This window comes from Homo sapiens, chromosome 12, assembly GCF_000001405.40.
Source record: "Homo sapiens chromosome 12, GRCh38.p14 Primary Assembly".
Taxonomy (NCBI): Eukaryota; Metazoa; Chordata; class Mammalia; order Primates; family Hominidae; genus Homo; species Homo sapiens.
This window is the reverse complement of record NC_000012.12, coordinates 119,973,352-119,987,581: the sequence shown is the minus strand read 5'-3', so window position 1 is coordinate 119,987,581 and position 14,230 is coordinate 119,973,352. Positions and strand designations below refer to the sequence as shown.

Here is a 14,230-nt window from a genome sequence, read left to right as displayed (position 1 = left end):
CCACCTTGAGCTGGAATTGTGGGCCAGAGGTGAGATCCAATTGCCACTTCCTTTTGTCTTATTTGAATCACAGAAGGACAAATTTCTCCCTAATATGTCTGGAGACACATCAAGAACAAACAGGGCCAGGCTCTGTGGCTCCTGCCTATAATCTCAGCACTTCGGGAGGCTGAGGCAGGAGGATTGCTTGAGCCCAGGAGTTCAAGACCAGCTTGGACAATGTAGAAAGTAAAGTTTCCTCTTCAAAGCTTCCCTTCTTGTTAAAGAATGAATAATAAGTGTTAGAAATAATGGTTTCTTTTAAAGACTAACTTCCTTCAAGCCACCTTATTTTATGCTAATAACTCTCTGTTAAGCCCTTTCCTATGTAGCTGTTAGATCTAAGGGAATGAGTACATTCTATGTCCATGTACTTTAACCAAGATACCTGTGCTGGACATGCTCACTGGCATGTCCCAGCTTGCAGCCTATGCCCCTTCCCTATTTGGGAATGTTACTACTTTTCTAAGTCTTTTCATAAATAACTTCCTCTTTTCCTTTGTTCTCCATTGCTTTTACCTATTTAGAAAAGTTTTAAGTTGTTAGCCTATCAGGTTCAGTTTAAATTGTAAGGTCTGGCTCCAGCCAATGGAGACAAGGCACAGTAGCAGGGACAAACTGCGTAAGGGATAAAAATTGCTTCTTTCCTTTATTCAGGTGTGCTCTTGCCATTGTTCCAGCTGCAAGGAGCACCCTTTCTGCAGAAACTAAAATTGCATTGCTGAGAAAACTTTCTCTCTAAATGCTGATTTTTCCTCGTGGTACCGAGGAACAAGCATTCTGTTTCTAAATAAACATTTTACTTATAACAGGCAACATGGCAAGATCCTGTCTCTCCACCAGTTGGGTGGCTCATGCCTATGACCCCAGCATTTTGGGAGGCCAAAGTGGGAGGGTCTTATAAGCCCAGGAGTTTGAGACTAGCCTGGACAACATGGCCAAAACCCCGTCTCTACAAAAAATACAAAAAAATTAGCCAGGCATGGTGGTGTGTGCCTATAGCCCCAGCTACTCAGGAGGCTGAGATGGGAGGGTGAGTTGAGCCTGGAAGATCAAGGCTGCAGTGAGCCCTGATCATACTATTGCACTCCAGTCTGGGTGACAGAGCAAGAACTTGTCAAAAAAAAAAAAAAAAAAAAGAGTTTCAGCTCTTTTTCCTTAATGCAGACATGCAGCCTATCTTTCAAAAAATGACTTTGTTTGCCTGCCTTGAGCCCAATGGTCCTAATCTGTTCCACTTATCTGTTACTGTGAAAATGAACTGTTACAATTCTAACTCCAGCTTCTGAATTTCCTTCCTAACAATGTTCCACTGCTGAACCTTACTAGGAAATGTTCACTTCTTACAGTAGGTTTGGCTCTAAGCACTGTCTTTCTGGGAGAACCAGCCCAACTTTGCAGAACTATTCAAAATAGTGGTTCTTAAACATTTTGGTCTCAGAATCTCATTACACTCTTGGGCCGGGTACGGTGGCTCATGCTTGTAATCCTAGCACTTTGGGAGGCCGAGGCAGGCAGATCACTTGGGGTAATGAGTTCAAGACCAGCCTGGCCAGCATGGCAAAACCCTGTCTCTACTAAAAATACAAAAATTAGCTGTGCATGGTGGCATGTGCCTGTAGTCCCAGCTACTCAGGAGGCTGAGGCGGGAGGATCGTTTGAACCTGGGAGGCGGACGTTGCAGTGAGCCAAGGTCACGCCACTGCACTCCAGCCTGGGTGACAGAGTGAGACTCCATCTCCAAAAAAAAAGTTTTTAAATAATTAATTCATTTTAAATATTTATGATAAACCTATTATATGTAACTATAATGAATTTTTATGAACAATAACTATATGGTCCTAAATGTAAAAAAAACTAGTGAGAAGAATGGCGTTATTCTTCATTTTTGTAAACCTCTGTAATGTATGGCTTAACAGTAGAAAAGTGAATTCTTGTATTTGGATATATCTATAATGTATGATATTTTGAAATATATGAAGAAAATTTGGACTCACAAAGATATGTGGTTGGGAAAAGGAGGAATATTTTAGTAGCCTTTTCATTTTGGATATTTTTCTTTGATATTACACCCAAACTTGACAAGTTATAGTTTCTTTCTTTCTCTCTCTCTCTCTCTTTCTTTCTTTCTTGAGATGGAGTCTCACTCTGTTGCCCAGGCTGGAGTGAGTGCAGTGGCGCAATCTTGGCTCGCTGCATCCTCCACCTCCCAGGTCAAGTGATTCTCCTGCCTCAGCCTCCCAAGTAGCTGGGACTACAGGCATGTGCCCCCACACTTGGCTAATTTTGGTATTTTTAGTAGAGACGGGGTTTCACTATGTTGGCCAGGCTGGTCTTGAACTCCTGACCTCAGGTGATCCACCCACCTCAGCCTCCCAAAGTGCTGGGATTACAGGCGTGAGCCACTGCGCCCAGATGACAAGTTGTAGTTTCTTAAAGGTTAGTTGCAATGTGAAATCTAAAACCATGTCAAGGAAATCCCATTGATCTATTTTTCACTTTGAATGGATTTTTTACATATGTATGATTGATTGTATAACAGCATGTATTTTCATTTGGAAAATGTCTGAGTTATGCAGATCTTACAAATATTGTCACATGTCATTACACAATATCAGCCTAATCACATTCATTAATATCACCACCACTGATCTCATCATAAAAGTCTTTAAGTATTGAGAAGTTACTAAGCTTGAGTTTTATCATTAGTAACAAATATTTTGAGTTGTTTTCCTTGAAGTAACAGACTTACTTCATTAATTCTTGAGAAAATATCTGCCAAATACCCGAATCTGAATACCACAGTTTGTGTCATTCATTCAGGTAAAAACAGTGTTCCGTGAAAAATGTGGCTAGTTAGTTCCCAACTCAAACGGAGGTACAAGTGCTTCACCTCAAGATAACCATCATACTTCAGTACACAGCAGAAGTGCTTTGTGGGTACTTCCCATTTCATCACATGAAATATTAAAAAGATGTGCACTCAAGGGTCTGGACTTAATAGAAGTACTGCTTCGTCAGGGACATTGGTTAATAAAACTAGCTTCTGTTTTTTCTATGAGCACATGAAAGTGAAGACTACCATGTGTACCAGCACAGCTGGGTAACACTGCCTTGACTCATGCTAAGGTATCAGTGGTGTTACCTACCATTGCTTTTGCACCATCAGTGCAAATGTCAACATAATTACAAACAAAAATAGTATTAGATGATTAGCATTATTATGAAATTAGTTTGCTATTGTTAATAACATTAGAATGATAATCCTTACACTTATTATGAAAATAGTTCTTTTCTTGGTAGCCCTCTGAAAGACTCTAGGACCTTTAGGAGCCGGTGCACCACACTCTGGGAACTGCTGATTCAAGTCCATTAGGTCAGCCTTGAGGTAACAGAATGAATATATACCTGCCTATATGGAAATTAGTGCCAGGATTTAAAACTCATTAAAGCCAAGTTATGAAAACCATCAGACTTCTAAGAAGCTTATTAAATTTATTCTTCTTCATGCTAGAACAATAACAGCTAAAATACATTTAGCACTGTGCTCCTTAAATCCTTTATGTAACACTCTCTCATTTAATCCTCACAATAACCCTATAATGGTAGTGTGTTACACCAATATATACTAGTACATGATACTATGATGCTAGTGTTTTAGAACTGTCTGTCTCTAATGGACTTGTTCTTAGTTACTCTACTGCACTTCACTTTTTATCACTTATGTATTCCTTTAAAATATATTTGCATTAGTGTTAGTTTTAGTACCTGGATAGTCTGGTAAACTTGAGTATGAGTACAGTTTACATACTTAACATACTATGGGTGAATTTCCACGTAAGTGCTATTACATCACTAAGGGCAAAACATGACATTTTTCCTTCTTAGAGATCCTGATATCTACAAATATGACAACGCTCATCCGATTTCCCCAAGTTGTTTACTTTTATTAACATCTTGGTCCGTGAAAACTGGAAAGTGTAAAAGACAAAACGTCTCGAAAATTTGTTTTTGAAAAGCCAAGTGTTGAAGAAACATGAGGAACTGGCAAAATGTGTAATAAAGCTGTTCTATGCTTGATATTTTCATTTAGCTATGATGTGTGTGTTTGTGTGCACCAGCAGATCACGCGTGTTTTAAGTTGTATATTTTGTCTATGAAATAATCGTGGAAACATACAAGTCTTGGACATTCATCAAATGTTACCCAAAGCACTTTATATTTTTTAGAGAGGAGTGATCTCAACATTTTGCAGAATGTGGTGTGTATACCCCTGGTGGTTCTCAAGTTGGTTTTTAGGGGAAAAATGTTAACATCAGTGGCTGGTGCTCACCGGTGTCAGTCTTCAGCAGAGACCCTGCCCTGCCTGATGTCGGGAAGTTCCTTCTCTGCTACTCAGAAGGTAAATAGAAGCCTCATCTTGTCCCTATATGGATACACAGTGTGAGTTCCCAACTTCCTCTCCTCCAGCTTCTATCCTTTCCTACCAACATCCTTGCCCAACTTTTCCCTTCCAGATGAGAACTCCTCTCTCCCAAGGATTTGCCTAATACCCCAGGTCTAGCTGCCCTGTTACCTCTGCCAGTTATTTTCTGACAACTGTCATTTCCAGCTTCTGACCCATTTTTCCTCCCTTCTGATTAGGCATCTTCAGTCTTTCCCCTTAATGATCATGAACCAGACTTCCTGGGCTGCATCTAGTTCTGCCACTTAGGAGTTGGATGACTTTGGACCTCTATGCCTCAGTTTCTTCATTTATAAAATGGGGATAATGGTAGTACTTACCTGATAAATTTGGTCTTAAGACAGAAAGATTTCAGATACGTACAGCTCTTAAAAATGAAGCCTGATAGGCCAGGTGTGGTGGCTCACACCTGTAATCCCAACACTTTCAGAGGCCGAGGTGAGTGAATTGCTTGAGCCCAGGAGTTCAAGACCAGCCTGGGTAACATAACAAAACCCTGTCCCTACAAAAAAATAAAAAATAAATTAGCCAGGCATGGTGGTGTGTGCGTTTCATCTCAGCTACTGGAGAGGCTGAGGTGGGAGGATCACCTGAGCCCAGGAGGTTGAGGCTTTAGTGAGCTGTGTGCCACTGCACTCCAGCCTGGATGACAGAGCAAGACCCTGTCTCCAATAATAATAATAATAATAAGAAGAAGAAGAAGTAATACTTACTTAATAAGGTCAGTCTTAAGACAAGAATATTTCAGATATGTTTAAAATGGAGCCTGGCAGGCCAGGTGCAGTGGCTCACTCCTGTAATTTCAGCACTTTGGGAGGCCGAGGCTGGAAGATCGCTTGAGGCCAGGAGTTTGAGACCACCCTGAGCAACACAGAGAGATCCTCTGTCTCCCACCTATAGTCTTAGCTACTCCTGAGGCTGAGACATGGAGTTTGAGGATGCAGCGAGGCGGTGAGCTACTATCGCGCCACTGCACTCCAGCCTCGGTCTCAGAGCGAGACCCTGTCTCTAAAAACCAACCAACAAACAAACAATCTGGGCTTTCTGAATTAGATCTGTCATTAACCAGCTGTGTAGCTATGTACAATTGAACAAGGCATTTAATGTGCCTAGGCTTTGGCTTCCTTATCTGTACGGTATGAAGTTGGCCTGGTAATCACCCCTGTATGCTCTAAACCAGTAGTTCTCAACTGGGGGTGATTTTTTTTTTTTTAAGACGGCATCTCACTGTGTCAAGCAGGCTGGAGTGCAGTGGCATGATCTCGGCTCACTGCAACCTCCAGCTCCTGGGTTCAAGCGATTCTCCTGCCTCAGCCTCTCTAGTAGCTGGGATTACAGGTACATGCCACCATGCCCAGCTCATTTTTGTATTTTTAGTAGAGAAAGGTTTCACCATGTTGGCTAAGCTGGTCTCAAACTGCTGACCTCACGTGATCCGCCTGCCTCAACTTCCCAAAGTGCTGGGATTACAAACATGAGCCACCGTGCTTGGTCTGGGGGTGATTTTGACCTCCTCCTAGGACCCTAGAGATATTGGGCAATGTCTGGAGACATTTTGGGTTGTCATAACTGGGAGGAAGGAGGTGTTATTGGCATCTAATGGATGGAGACTAGAGATGCTGCCAAACATATTTTAATGTCCAGGACAGCCTATCTGGCCCCAAATGTCAATAGTGCTGAGTTGAGAAACGCTAGTTTAAAATGACAGGCTTCGGGACAGGCGCATTGGCTTATGCTTGTAATCCCAGCACTTTGGGAAGCTGAGGTGGGCAGATCACTTAAGGTCAGGAGTTTGAGACCAGCCTGGCCAACATGAAAAAACCCCATATCTACTAAAAATACAGAAATTAGCCGGCGTGGTGGTATGCACCTTCAGTCTTAGCTACTTGGGAGGCTGAGGCAGGAGAATCATCTGAACGTGGTAGGTGGAAGTTGGCAGTGAGCCGAGGTTGGGCCACTGCACTCCAGCTTCGGTGACAAAGACTCTGTCTCAAAAAAAAAAAAAAAAAAAAGACAGAATGACAGGCTTTGACCGGGCGTGGTGGCTCACACCTGTAATCCTAGCACTTTGGGAGGTCGAGGTGAGTGGATCACTTAAGCCCAGGAGTTCAAGACCAGCCTGGGCAACATGGCGAAACCCCGTCTCTACAGAAAATCCAAAAATTAGTCAAGCACAGTGGCTCACGCCTATAGTCTCAGCTACTAGGGAGACTGAGGTGGGAGGATCATGTGGGTATGGGGAGGTTGACGCTGAAGTGAGCTGTGATCACGCTATTGCACTTTAGCCTGGATGACAGAGCAAGACCCTGTCTCAAATAAATAAAATAAAATAAAATAAAATAAAATAAAATGACAGGCTTCTACAACTTAACCATGAGGTTTGTTGCCTGAGAAAGATATAAATGGGTTACATGCATGATGGGCTCTGATGCAAGCCCAAGGGTGCTTTGGCTGCTTTTAGGGATTCTCTTCTGGAAAACCAGCCCATAACACAGCCATACCACTTAGGCAAATAAATAACCAAAAAGCTCCTCTGCTTTGAGGCAATTGCTCCCAACATTGACTAAATTACTTTCTACTCTCCCCTACCCTCTTATAATGATTTGGCTGTCACTGTTGCCCAAACTCATCAGAAAATGACTGCTTTATGCTCAGGTTGGCTGTTTTTGGTTCTTCCAATGCCCACATCTAGAAAGATTTGTGGTTTCATTTTCTATGTGCTCATATTTTCCTGCTTCTTTTCAATGATCTTGGCTCTAAACACATTGTTGCTGTGTTTTGCTACATATATCATTCATCTCGAGCTATTTTAAAACATTTCCTAGTTTTATTTCATCTCAAGAATTTGCCAAACATTTGTTATATCTTGTTCCTTCCGCATTACATTCTGGTTTAATCTGTTGGCAGGCAAGTTATTTATACCTATTGATACTGCTCATACTAAAACTGTTTCTTAAGTGAATTTCCTCCCTTTAGTGTTCTTTGTCAATTTCAGAGTACACTGATTATGGAAATTTTATATCATCCAGTTTCCAGGATAACTAAAAACTTTTGCTGGTGGGTAGGTAAAATGTCCCGTGAATCTGTTTTCCATGGTTTGTGTTAGCATTGCTACTGCTACACTTCTCACTTTATGTAAAAAGCCTTTATGGATTTCTTGGTGCCTTCCTATGATCAGAGGAATAGTCATCTTCTAAAGGGTCAAAATTTAATCATGTCCTAGAAAATGTAGCTATGTTTGTGTGGGGGGCACATGTGTAGGTGTGGGATATATGTGAATATTAAGTGTTCTGGAAAGATAGTTGGTGTAATGCAACTATCTTAATAGTTAATTTTTCCATTAAGTAATGTATATATATATATATACACACATTTTATATATTTATATAAATATATATATTTTTTCTTTTCTTTTCTTTTTTCTTTTTTTTTTGAGATGGAGTCTTGTTCTTATTGTCCAGGCTGGAGGGCAGTGGCACAATCTCAGCTCACTGCAACCTCTGCCTCCTGGGTTCAAGCAATTCTCCTGTCTCAGCCTCCCCAGTAGCTGGGATTACGGGCGCCTGCCACCACACCTGGCTAATTTTTGTATTTTTAGTGGAGACGGGGTTTCACCATGTTGGCCATACTGGTCTCGAACTCCTGACCTCAGGTGATCCACCTGCCTCGGCCTCCCAAAGTGTTGGGATTACAGGCATGAGCCACCGTGCCTGGCCTTTTTTTTTTTTTTTTTTAAGACGGAGTCTTGCTCTGTCACCCGGGCTGGAATGCAGTGACATGATCTCGGCTCACTGCAGCCTCTGCCTCCTGGGTTCAAGCAATTCTCCTGCCTCAGCCTCCCGAGTAGCTGGGACTACAGGTGTGTGCCACCACACCTGGCTAATTTTTTGTATTTTTAGTAAAGACAGGGTTTCACCATGTTGGCCAGGTTGGTCTTGATCTCCTGACCTCGTGATCTGCCTGCCTCGGCCTCCCAAAGTGCTGGGATTACAGGTGTGAGCCACCGCGCCTGGCCTACACTTATATTTTTTAGAGACAGGGTCTTGCTCTGTTGCCCAGGCTGGAGTGTAGTAGCATAATCGTAGCTCTCTGCAGCTGCGAACTCGTTGGCTCAACCAATCCTCCTGCCTTAGCCTCCCAGGAAGCTAAAACTGCAAGCATGTGCCACCATGCCCAGTTAATTTTAAAATATTTTTTGTAGAGACAGGGTCTCGCTATGTTGACCAGGCAGGTCCCAAATGACTGGCTTCAAGCAATCTTCCCACTTTGGCCTCCCAAAGTGCTGGGATTACAGGCATGAGCCACCACACCCAGCCAGCAAAATAATTTTTTAAAGTTTCTAAACTATAAGGAAATCTATTGAATTATATAGTTACCAAGGCAGTTGGCCAGTATTTATTGAGACACAATTGACGGTTGGTGTGCGTTTGGTATTATTATCTCATTATATGAGAATTTCAGGATTTTAGAAAATTTTAGAAAACATATCAGGCATGGTGGCTCATGCCTGTATCTCAGCACTTTGGGAGGCCAAGGCAGGCAGATCACTTGAGGTCAGGAGTTCGAGACCAGCCTGGTCAACATGGTGAAACTCGTCTTTACAAAAAATACAAAAATTAGCCAAGCGTGGTGGCTCATGACTGTAGTCCCAGCTATTCGGGAGGCTGAGGCAGGAGAATCACTTGAGCCTGGGAGGTGGAGGTTGCAGTGAGCCAAGATCACGCCACTGCATTCCTGCCTGGGTGACAGAGTGAGTTTCCATCTCAAAAAAAAAAAAAAAAAATTTAGAAAACGTGATTCTCATCCTCAAGGAGTATTCCATCAGTGTTTGTGTAAGAGTGTGGGCCGAGCGCGGTGGCTCACTTTGGGAGGCCGAGGCAGGCGGATCACGAGGTCAGGAGATTGAGATCATCCTCTCTAACACGGTGAAACCCTGTGTCTACTGAAAATACAAAATATTAGCCGGGCATGGTGGCAGGCTCCTGTAGTCCCAGCTACTCGGGAGGCTGAGGCAGGAGAATTGTTTGAATCCAGGAGGTGGATGTTGCAGTGAGCCAAGACCATGCCACTGCACTCCAGCCTGGGTGACAGAGCGAGACTCTGTCTCAAAAAAAAAAAAAAAAAAAAAATGGACATGGCGTCACCAAGGCATGTCCATAATTCACACCACAGGAAATTTAATATAGTGGTTAAGAACATGGTTTCTAGAGTAAGCTCTGGTTTCAAGTCAAGGCTCCCTCAGTTACTAGCCAAAATAACCCTAGGAAAGTTAGTTAACCTTTCTATGCACTATGTAAGTAAATAATTTTGTTACTAGTGGGTCTTAAGGCCCAGCACAGTTCCTAACATATGATAGGAACTTGATACTTTTTTTTTTGAGATAGAGTCTTACTCTGCCATCTAGGCTGGAGTGCAGTGACACAATCATTGTTTGCTGCAACCTCTGCCTACCAGGCTCAAGCAATGCTCCCCACCTCAGCCTCTTGAGTAGCTGGTACTAGAGACAGGCGCCATCACACCCAGCTAATTTTTGTATTTTTAGTAGAGATGGGGTTCACCATGTTTTCCAGGCTTGTAGGAACTTGATACATTTTTATAATGAACGAATAATGTGTCTAAAGCACTTAGTACATTGCTAAGACACAGTCAGAGTTTACTCAATAAGATGTTAAAGACAAAAAACCAACAAAAACTCTTGATCTCAGAATACCAGATTTGTTACATATTAATATGGTCCACATGGTTTGTGTTAACCTCTATACTCATACAAAACATTTATCGCATAGAGGCTATCATGTGATAAGTTGGAGATTATGTGGGGGAAACATATATGTATACGCTGTGATCCTTACCCTCAAAATGTTTATAACTTAATAAACAATAGAAAACATAAACCAGAATTAGTTGGCCATGGTGGTGCACACCTGTAGTCCCAGCTACTTGGAGGCTGAGGCAGGAGGATCGCTTGAGCCCTGGAGGCAAAGGCTGCAGTGAGTCGAGATCACGCCACTGCACTCCAGAATGAGACCCTGTCTCAAAAAGAAAGAAGAAGAAGAAAAAAAACATAAACAGGACTGGGTGCAATGGTTCATGCTTGTAATCCCAGCACTTTGGGAGGCTGAGGCAGGAGGATTGCTTGAGTCCAGGAGTTCAAGACCAGCGTGGGCAAGAGGGCAACACCTCATGTCTTATTTATTTATTTATCTCTTTATTTTTTGAGAGAGTCTCACTCTGTCACCCAGGCTGGAGTGCAGTGGTGCAATCTTGGCTCACTTCAAACTCTACTTCCCAAGTTCAAGCCATTCTCTTGCCTCAACCTCCTTAGTAGCTGGGATTACAGGTGCATGCCACTATGCCCGGCTAATTTTTGTATTTTTAGTAGAGATGGAGTTTCACCATGTTGGCCAGGTTGGTCTTGAACTCCTGACCTCAAGTGATCCACCTGCCTTGGCCTTCCGAAGTGCTGGGATTACAGGCATGAGCCGCCACGCCCGGCCTGTGAAACCCTGTCTATACAAAAAATACAAAAGTTAGTTGGGCGTGTGGCATGTGCCTGTAAGCTCAGCTATACAGGAGGCTGAGATGGGAGGAATGCTTGAGCCTGGGAGGTGGAGGTTGCCATGAGCTGAGATCGTGTCACTGCAATCCCAGCCTGGAAGACAGAGTGAGACCCTTTCTCAAAATAAATAAATAAATAAATAAATAATAAAAAATTCAGAGAAGGGAGACAGTGCTAGATACAATGGGGAGCCACTGGACATGTTGAAACTGTGAGGAAATCTGAATAAATCTGTACTTCAGGAAGACTAACCTGGCACTGGTGTGAAAGATAGATTCAAGGTGAGAGTCAGGAGTCGGGGAGAACAATTACAATACTGCTGGAAGAATCTATATGGAAGTTCTGATGGAATGGAAGACAGAGGTCAGAGATGTTATAAACAAGAGAAATAATTGCTAAATTTGGAGTCTGATCAGCTATTAGAGAGTGAGAATGAAGAAAAAGGAGGATTCAGAGATGCCTCTGAGGTTACCAATGTGGACAACAAACAGAATGATGGTGTCTTGCCAGAAACAGGAAAACTGGAAAAATAGCAAGAATCAGATAATTAGGCCCTTTGATTTGGCTATGGCCAAGGACCTCTCACCTATATAGGGAAAAAGGCAAGCGTGAAATCAATATACATAGCAATGATGAGAGCGAGTTGTTCACACAGACACGGTGGCTCATGCCTGTAATCCCAGTACTTTGAGAAGCTGAGGTGGGAAGATCATTTGAGCCCAGGAGGTTGAGGCTGCAGTGAGCAGAGATTGCACCACTGCACTCCTGCCTGGGTGACAGAATGAGACCCTGTCTCAACAAAACAAAACAAAACAAACAAAAAAAGAGTGAGTTGATGACAAATGTATCAGTGGGATTGAAAATGCAAAGTTCTTCCTCATCCAGCAGAAAGCATCCTAGAGAAAACTACAATTGATGCAGGAGAAGAAATGAGAACACTTGACAGGAGGAGGAAGATCGTCCCATGTTTGGAAAACCATTGGGGTAGATCTGGCAGTGGGACAGGGAACTGAACAGGGTTCTGTGCCTGTGGATCAAGTGACCATTTCCCCATTTTCCTCAACTCCCATCTACATCAAAGTGCATGGGACTCCTTTTCCTGACAGCCAACTTCTCCCACCCACTCCCTATCTAATAAAGGAAGGGATGATGGAAAGAAGCAGGCCTTCCTGATGGGTTTAGAAAATAATTGCATAGAACAAAGCTATATGTATGTTTTATTATGCATTTGCATTTACAGAAAATCAAAACTTTGAAAAGGCTTATATTCAAGAAGACATATGAAATCACCCAATTAAAAGATAGATGGCAAAGACTCAAAAACTGATTATAGAATTTAATTTAAGAAAAATCAAGAAATACATCAAAGGTATAAATCTGCATTTCCCTGGGGTCTCAATTCAGTGATTCAGCTTCTTTTTAGTAAGTGGGTCAGAAAACTGCTAATCCTGTAATGATTTTGTTCAACTGCACCCAGCTGGTAGATGTATTTCTTGCAGATCTAAAAAAAACAAGTATGTTAAAATTGTCAAAGTTAATGTCAACCCAATATCCAATTGCTTTGTTTATCAACCATGAAACTTGATTGAAAGTCTGTTCTTTTAATTGGCAAGTAGTAACAATGTTGTTTGTATTTTTGAGATGCTGTGTTCCGTGTTGCACATTTCTATGGTATAGCTGATACAATGACACCATATAATAGGGAGTCTCAGGCAGGGCGTGGTGGCTGACGCCTGTAATCCTAGGACTTTGGGAGGCCGAGGCGGGTGGATCACGAGGTCAGGAGTTCGACACCAGCCTGGCCAATATGGTGAAACCCTGTCTCTACTAAAAATACAAAAATCAGCTGAGTGTGGTGGCGCACGCCTGTAGTCCCTAGTCCCTGGTGCTTGGGAGACTGAGGAAGGAGAATCACTGGAACCCGGGAGGCAGAGGTTGCAGTGAGCTGAGATCGCGCCACTGCACTCCAGCCTGGGTGACAGAATAAACTCCGCCTCAAAAAAAAAAAAAAATAGGGAGTCTCATACTGGATGAAATTCAACAGGACAAACCGGTTACACTACAATATGAGGGCAAATATAGGAGCTGATGTATTGGCCTTGTGAAAACAGCTCAGGTTTGAAAACAAAAAACAAAAGGCATAAGTCATCATAGAGAAGCTTTTTTTTTTTTTTTTTTTTTTTTTTTTTCTGAGACGGAGTCTTGCTCTGTCGCCCAGACTGGAGTGCAGTGGCCTGATCTCAGCTCACTGCAACCTCTGCCTCCCAGGTTCAGTGATTCTCCTGCCTCAGCCTCCCGAGTAGCTGGGATTACAGGCGCGCACCACTATGTCCAGCTAATTTTTTTGTATTTTTGGTAGAGACGGGGTTTCACCATGTTGGCCAGGCTGGTTTCGAACTCCTGACCTCATGATCTGCCTGCCTCGAACTCCCAAAGTGCTGGAATTACAGGCGTGAGCCACCGCGCCTGGCCTTTTTTATTTTCCCCCTTCTTTCTTTCCCTTCCTTCCTTCTGGCCTTTTTTCCCCTTCCCTTCCCTCCCTCCCTCCCTCCCTCCCTCCCTCCCTCTCTCCCTCTCTCCCTCCCTCCCTCTCTCCCCTCCTCCCTTCCTTCATCTCTTTTTTTTTTTTTTTTTGAGACGGAGTCTCACTCTGTTGCCCAGGCTGGAGTGCAATGGCGTGATCTTGGCTCACTACAACCTCTGCCTCCTGGGTTCAAGCAGTTCTCCTGCCTCAGCCTCCTGAGTAGCTGGGATTACAGGTGCATGCCACCACGCCCGGCTAATGTTTTTGTGTTTTTAGTAGAGAGAGGGTTTCACCATGTTGATCAGGCTGGTCTCGAACTCCTGACCTCGTGATCTGCCTGCCTCGGCCTCCCAAAGTGCTGGGATTACAGGCATGAGCCACCGTGCCCAGCCCCTGTTTTTGTTTTTGAGATGAAGTCTCATTCTGTCACCCAGGCTGGAGTGCAGTGGCACAATCTCGACTCACTGAAGCCTCTGCCTCCCAGGTTCAAGCAATTCTCCTGCCTCAGTCTTCCCAGTAGCTGGGACTATAGGCATGTGCCACCATGCCCAGCTAATTTTTGTATTTTTGGCAGTGATGGTGTTTCACCATGTTGGCCAGGCTTGGTCTTGAACTCCTGAACTCAAGTGATCCACCTGCTCAG

At 43.2% G+C, this 14,230-nt stretch overlaps 1 long non-coding RNA gene across 2 annotated transcripts in view, besides 1 other annotated feature; it reads right to left on the bottom strand.

The window, feature by feature from the left end:
• Positions 1,678 to 1,859: a silencer, noted in NCBI's record as "fragment chr12:120423527-120423708 (GRCh37/hg19 assembly coordinates)". NCBI's record gives its function as "represses an EF-1alpha promoter that drives an FKBP-Casp9 reporter gene in an ReSE screen in K562 erythroleukemia cells {active_cell/tissue: K562}" and the evidence as "EXISTENCE:reporter gene assay evidence [ECO:0000049][PMID:32094911]".
• The window catches only part of LOC112268087 (uncharacterized), a 35,807-nt gene continuing 33,961 nt past the window's right edge, over positions 12,385 to 14,230 (bottom strand). For both annotated transcript variants that reach the window (XR_002957391.2, XR_002957390.2), the window contains one exon: positions 12,385 to 12,564. This is a non-coding gene — a long non-coding RNA (uncharacterized LOC112268087). The remainder of the gene's footprint in view (positions 12,565 to 14,230) is intronic.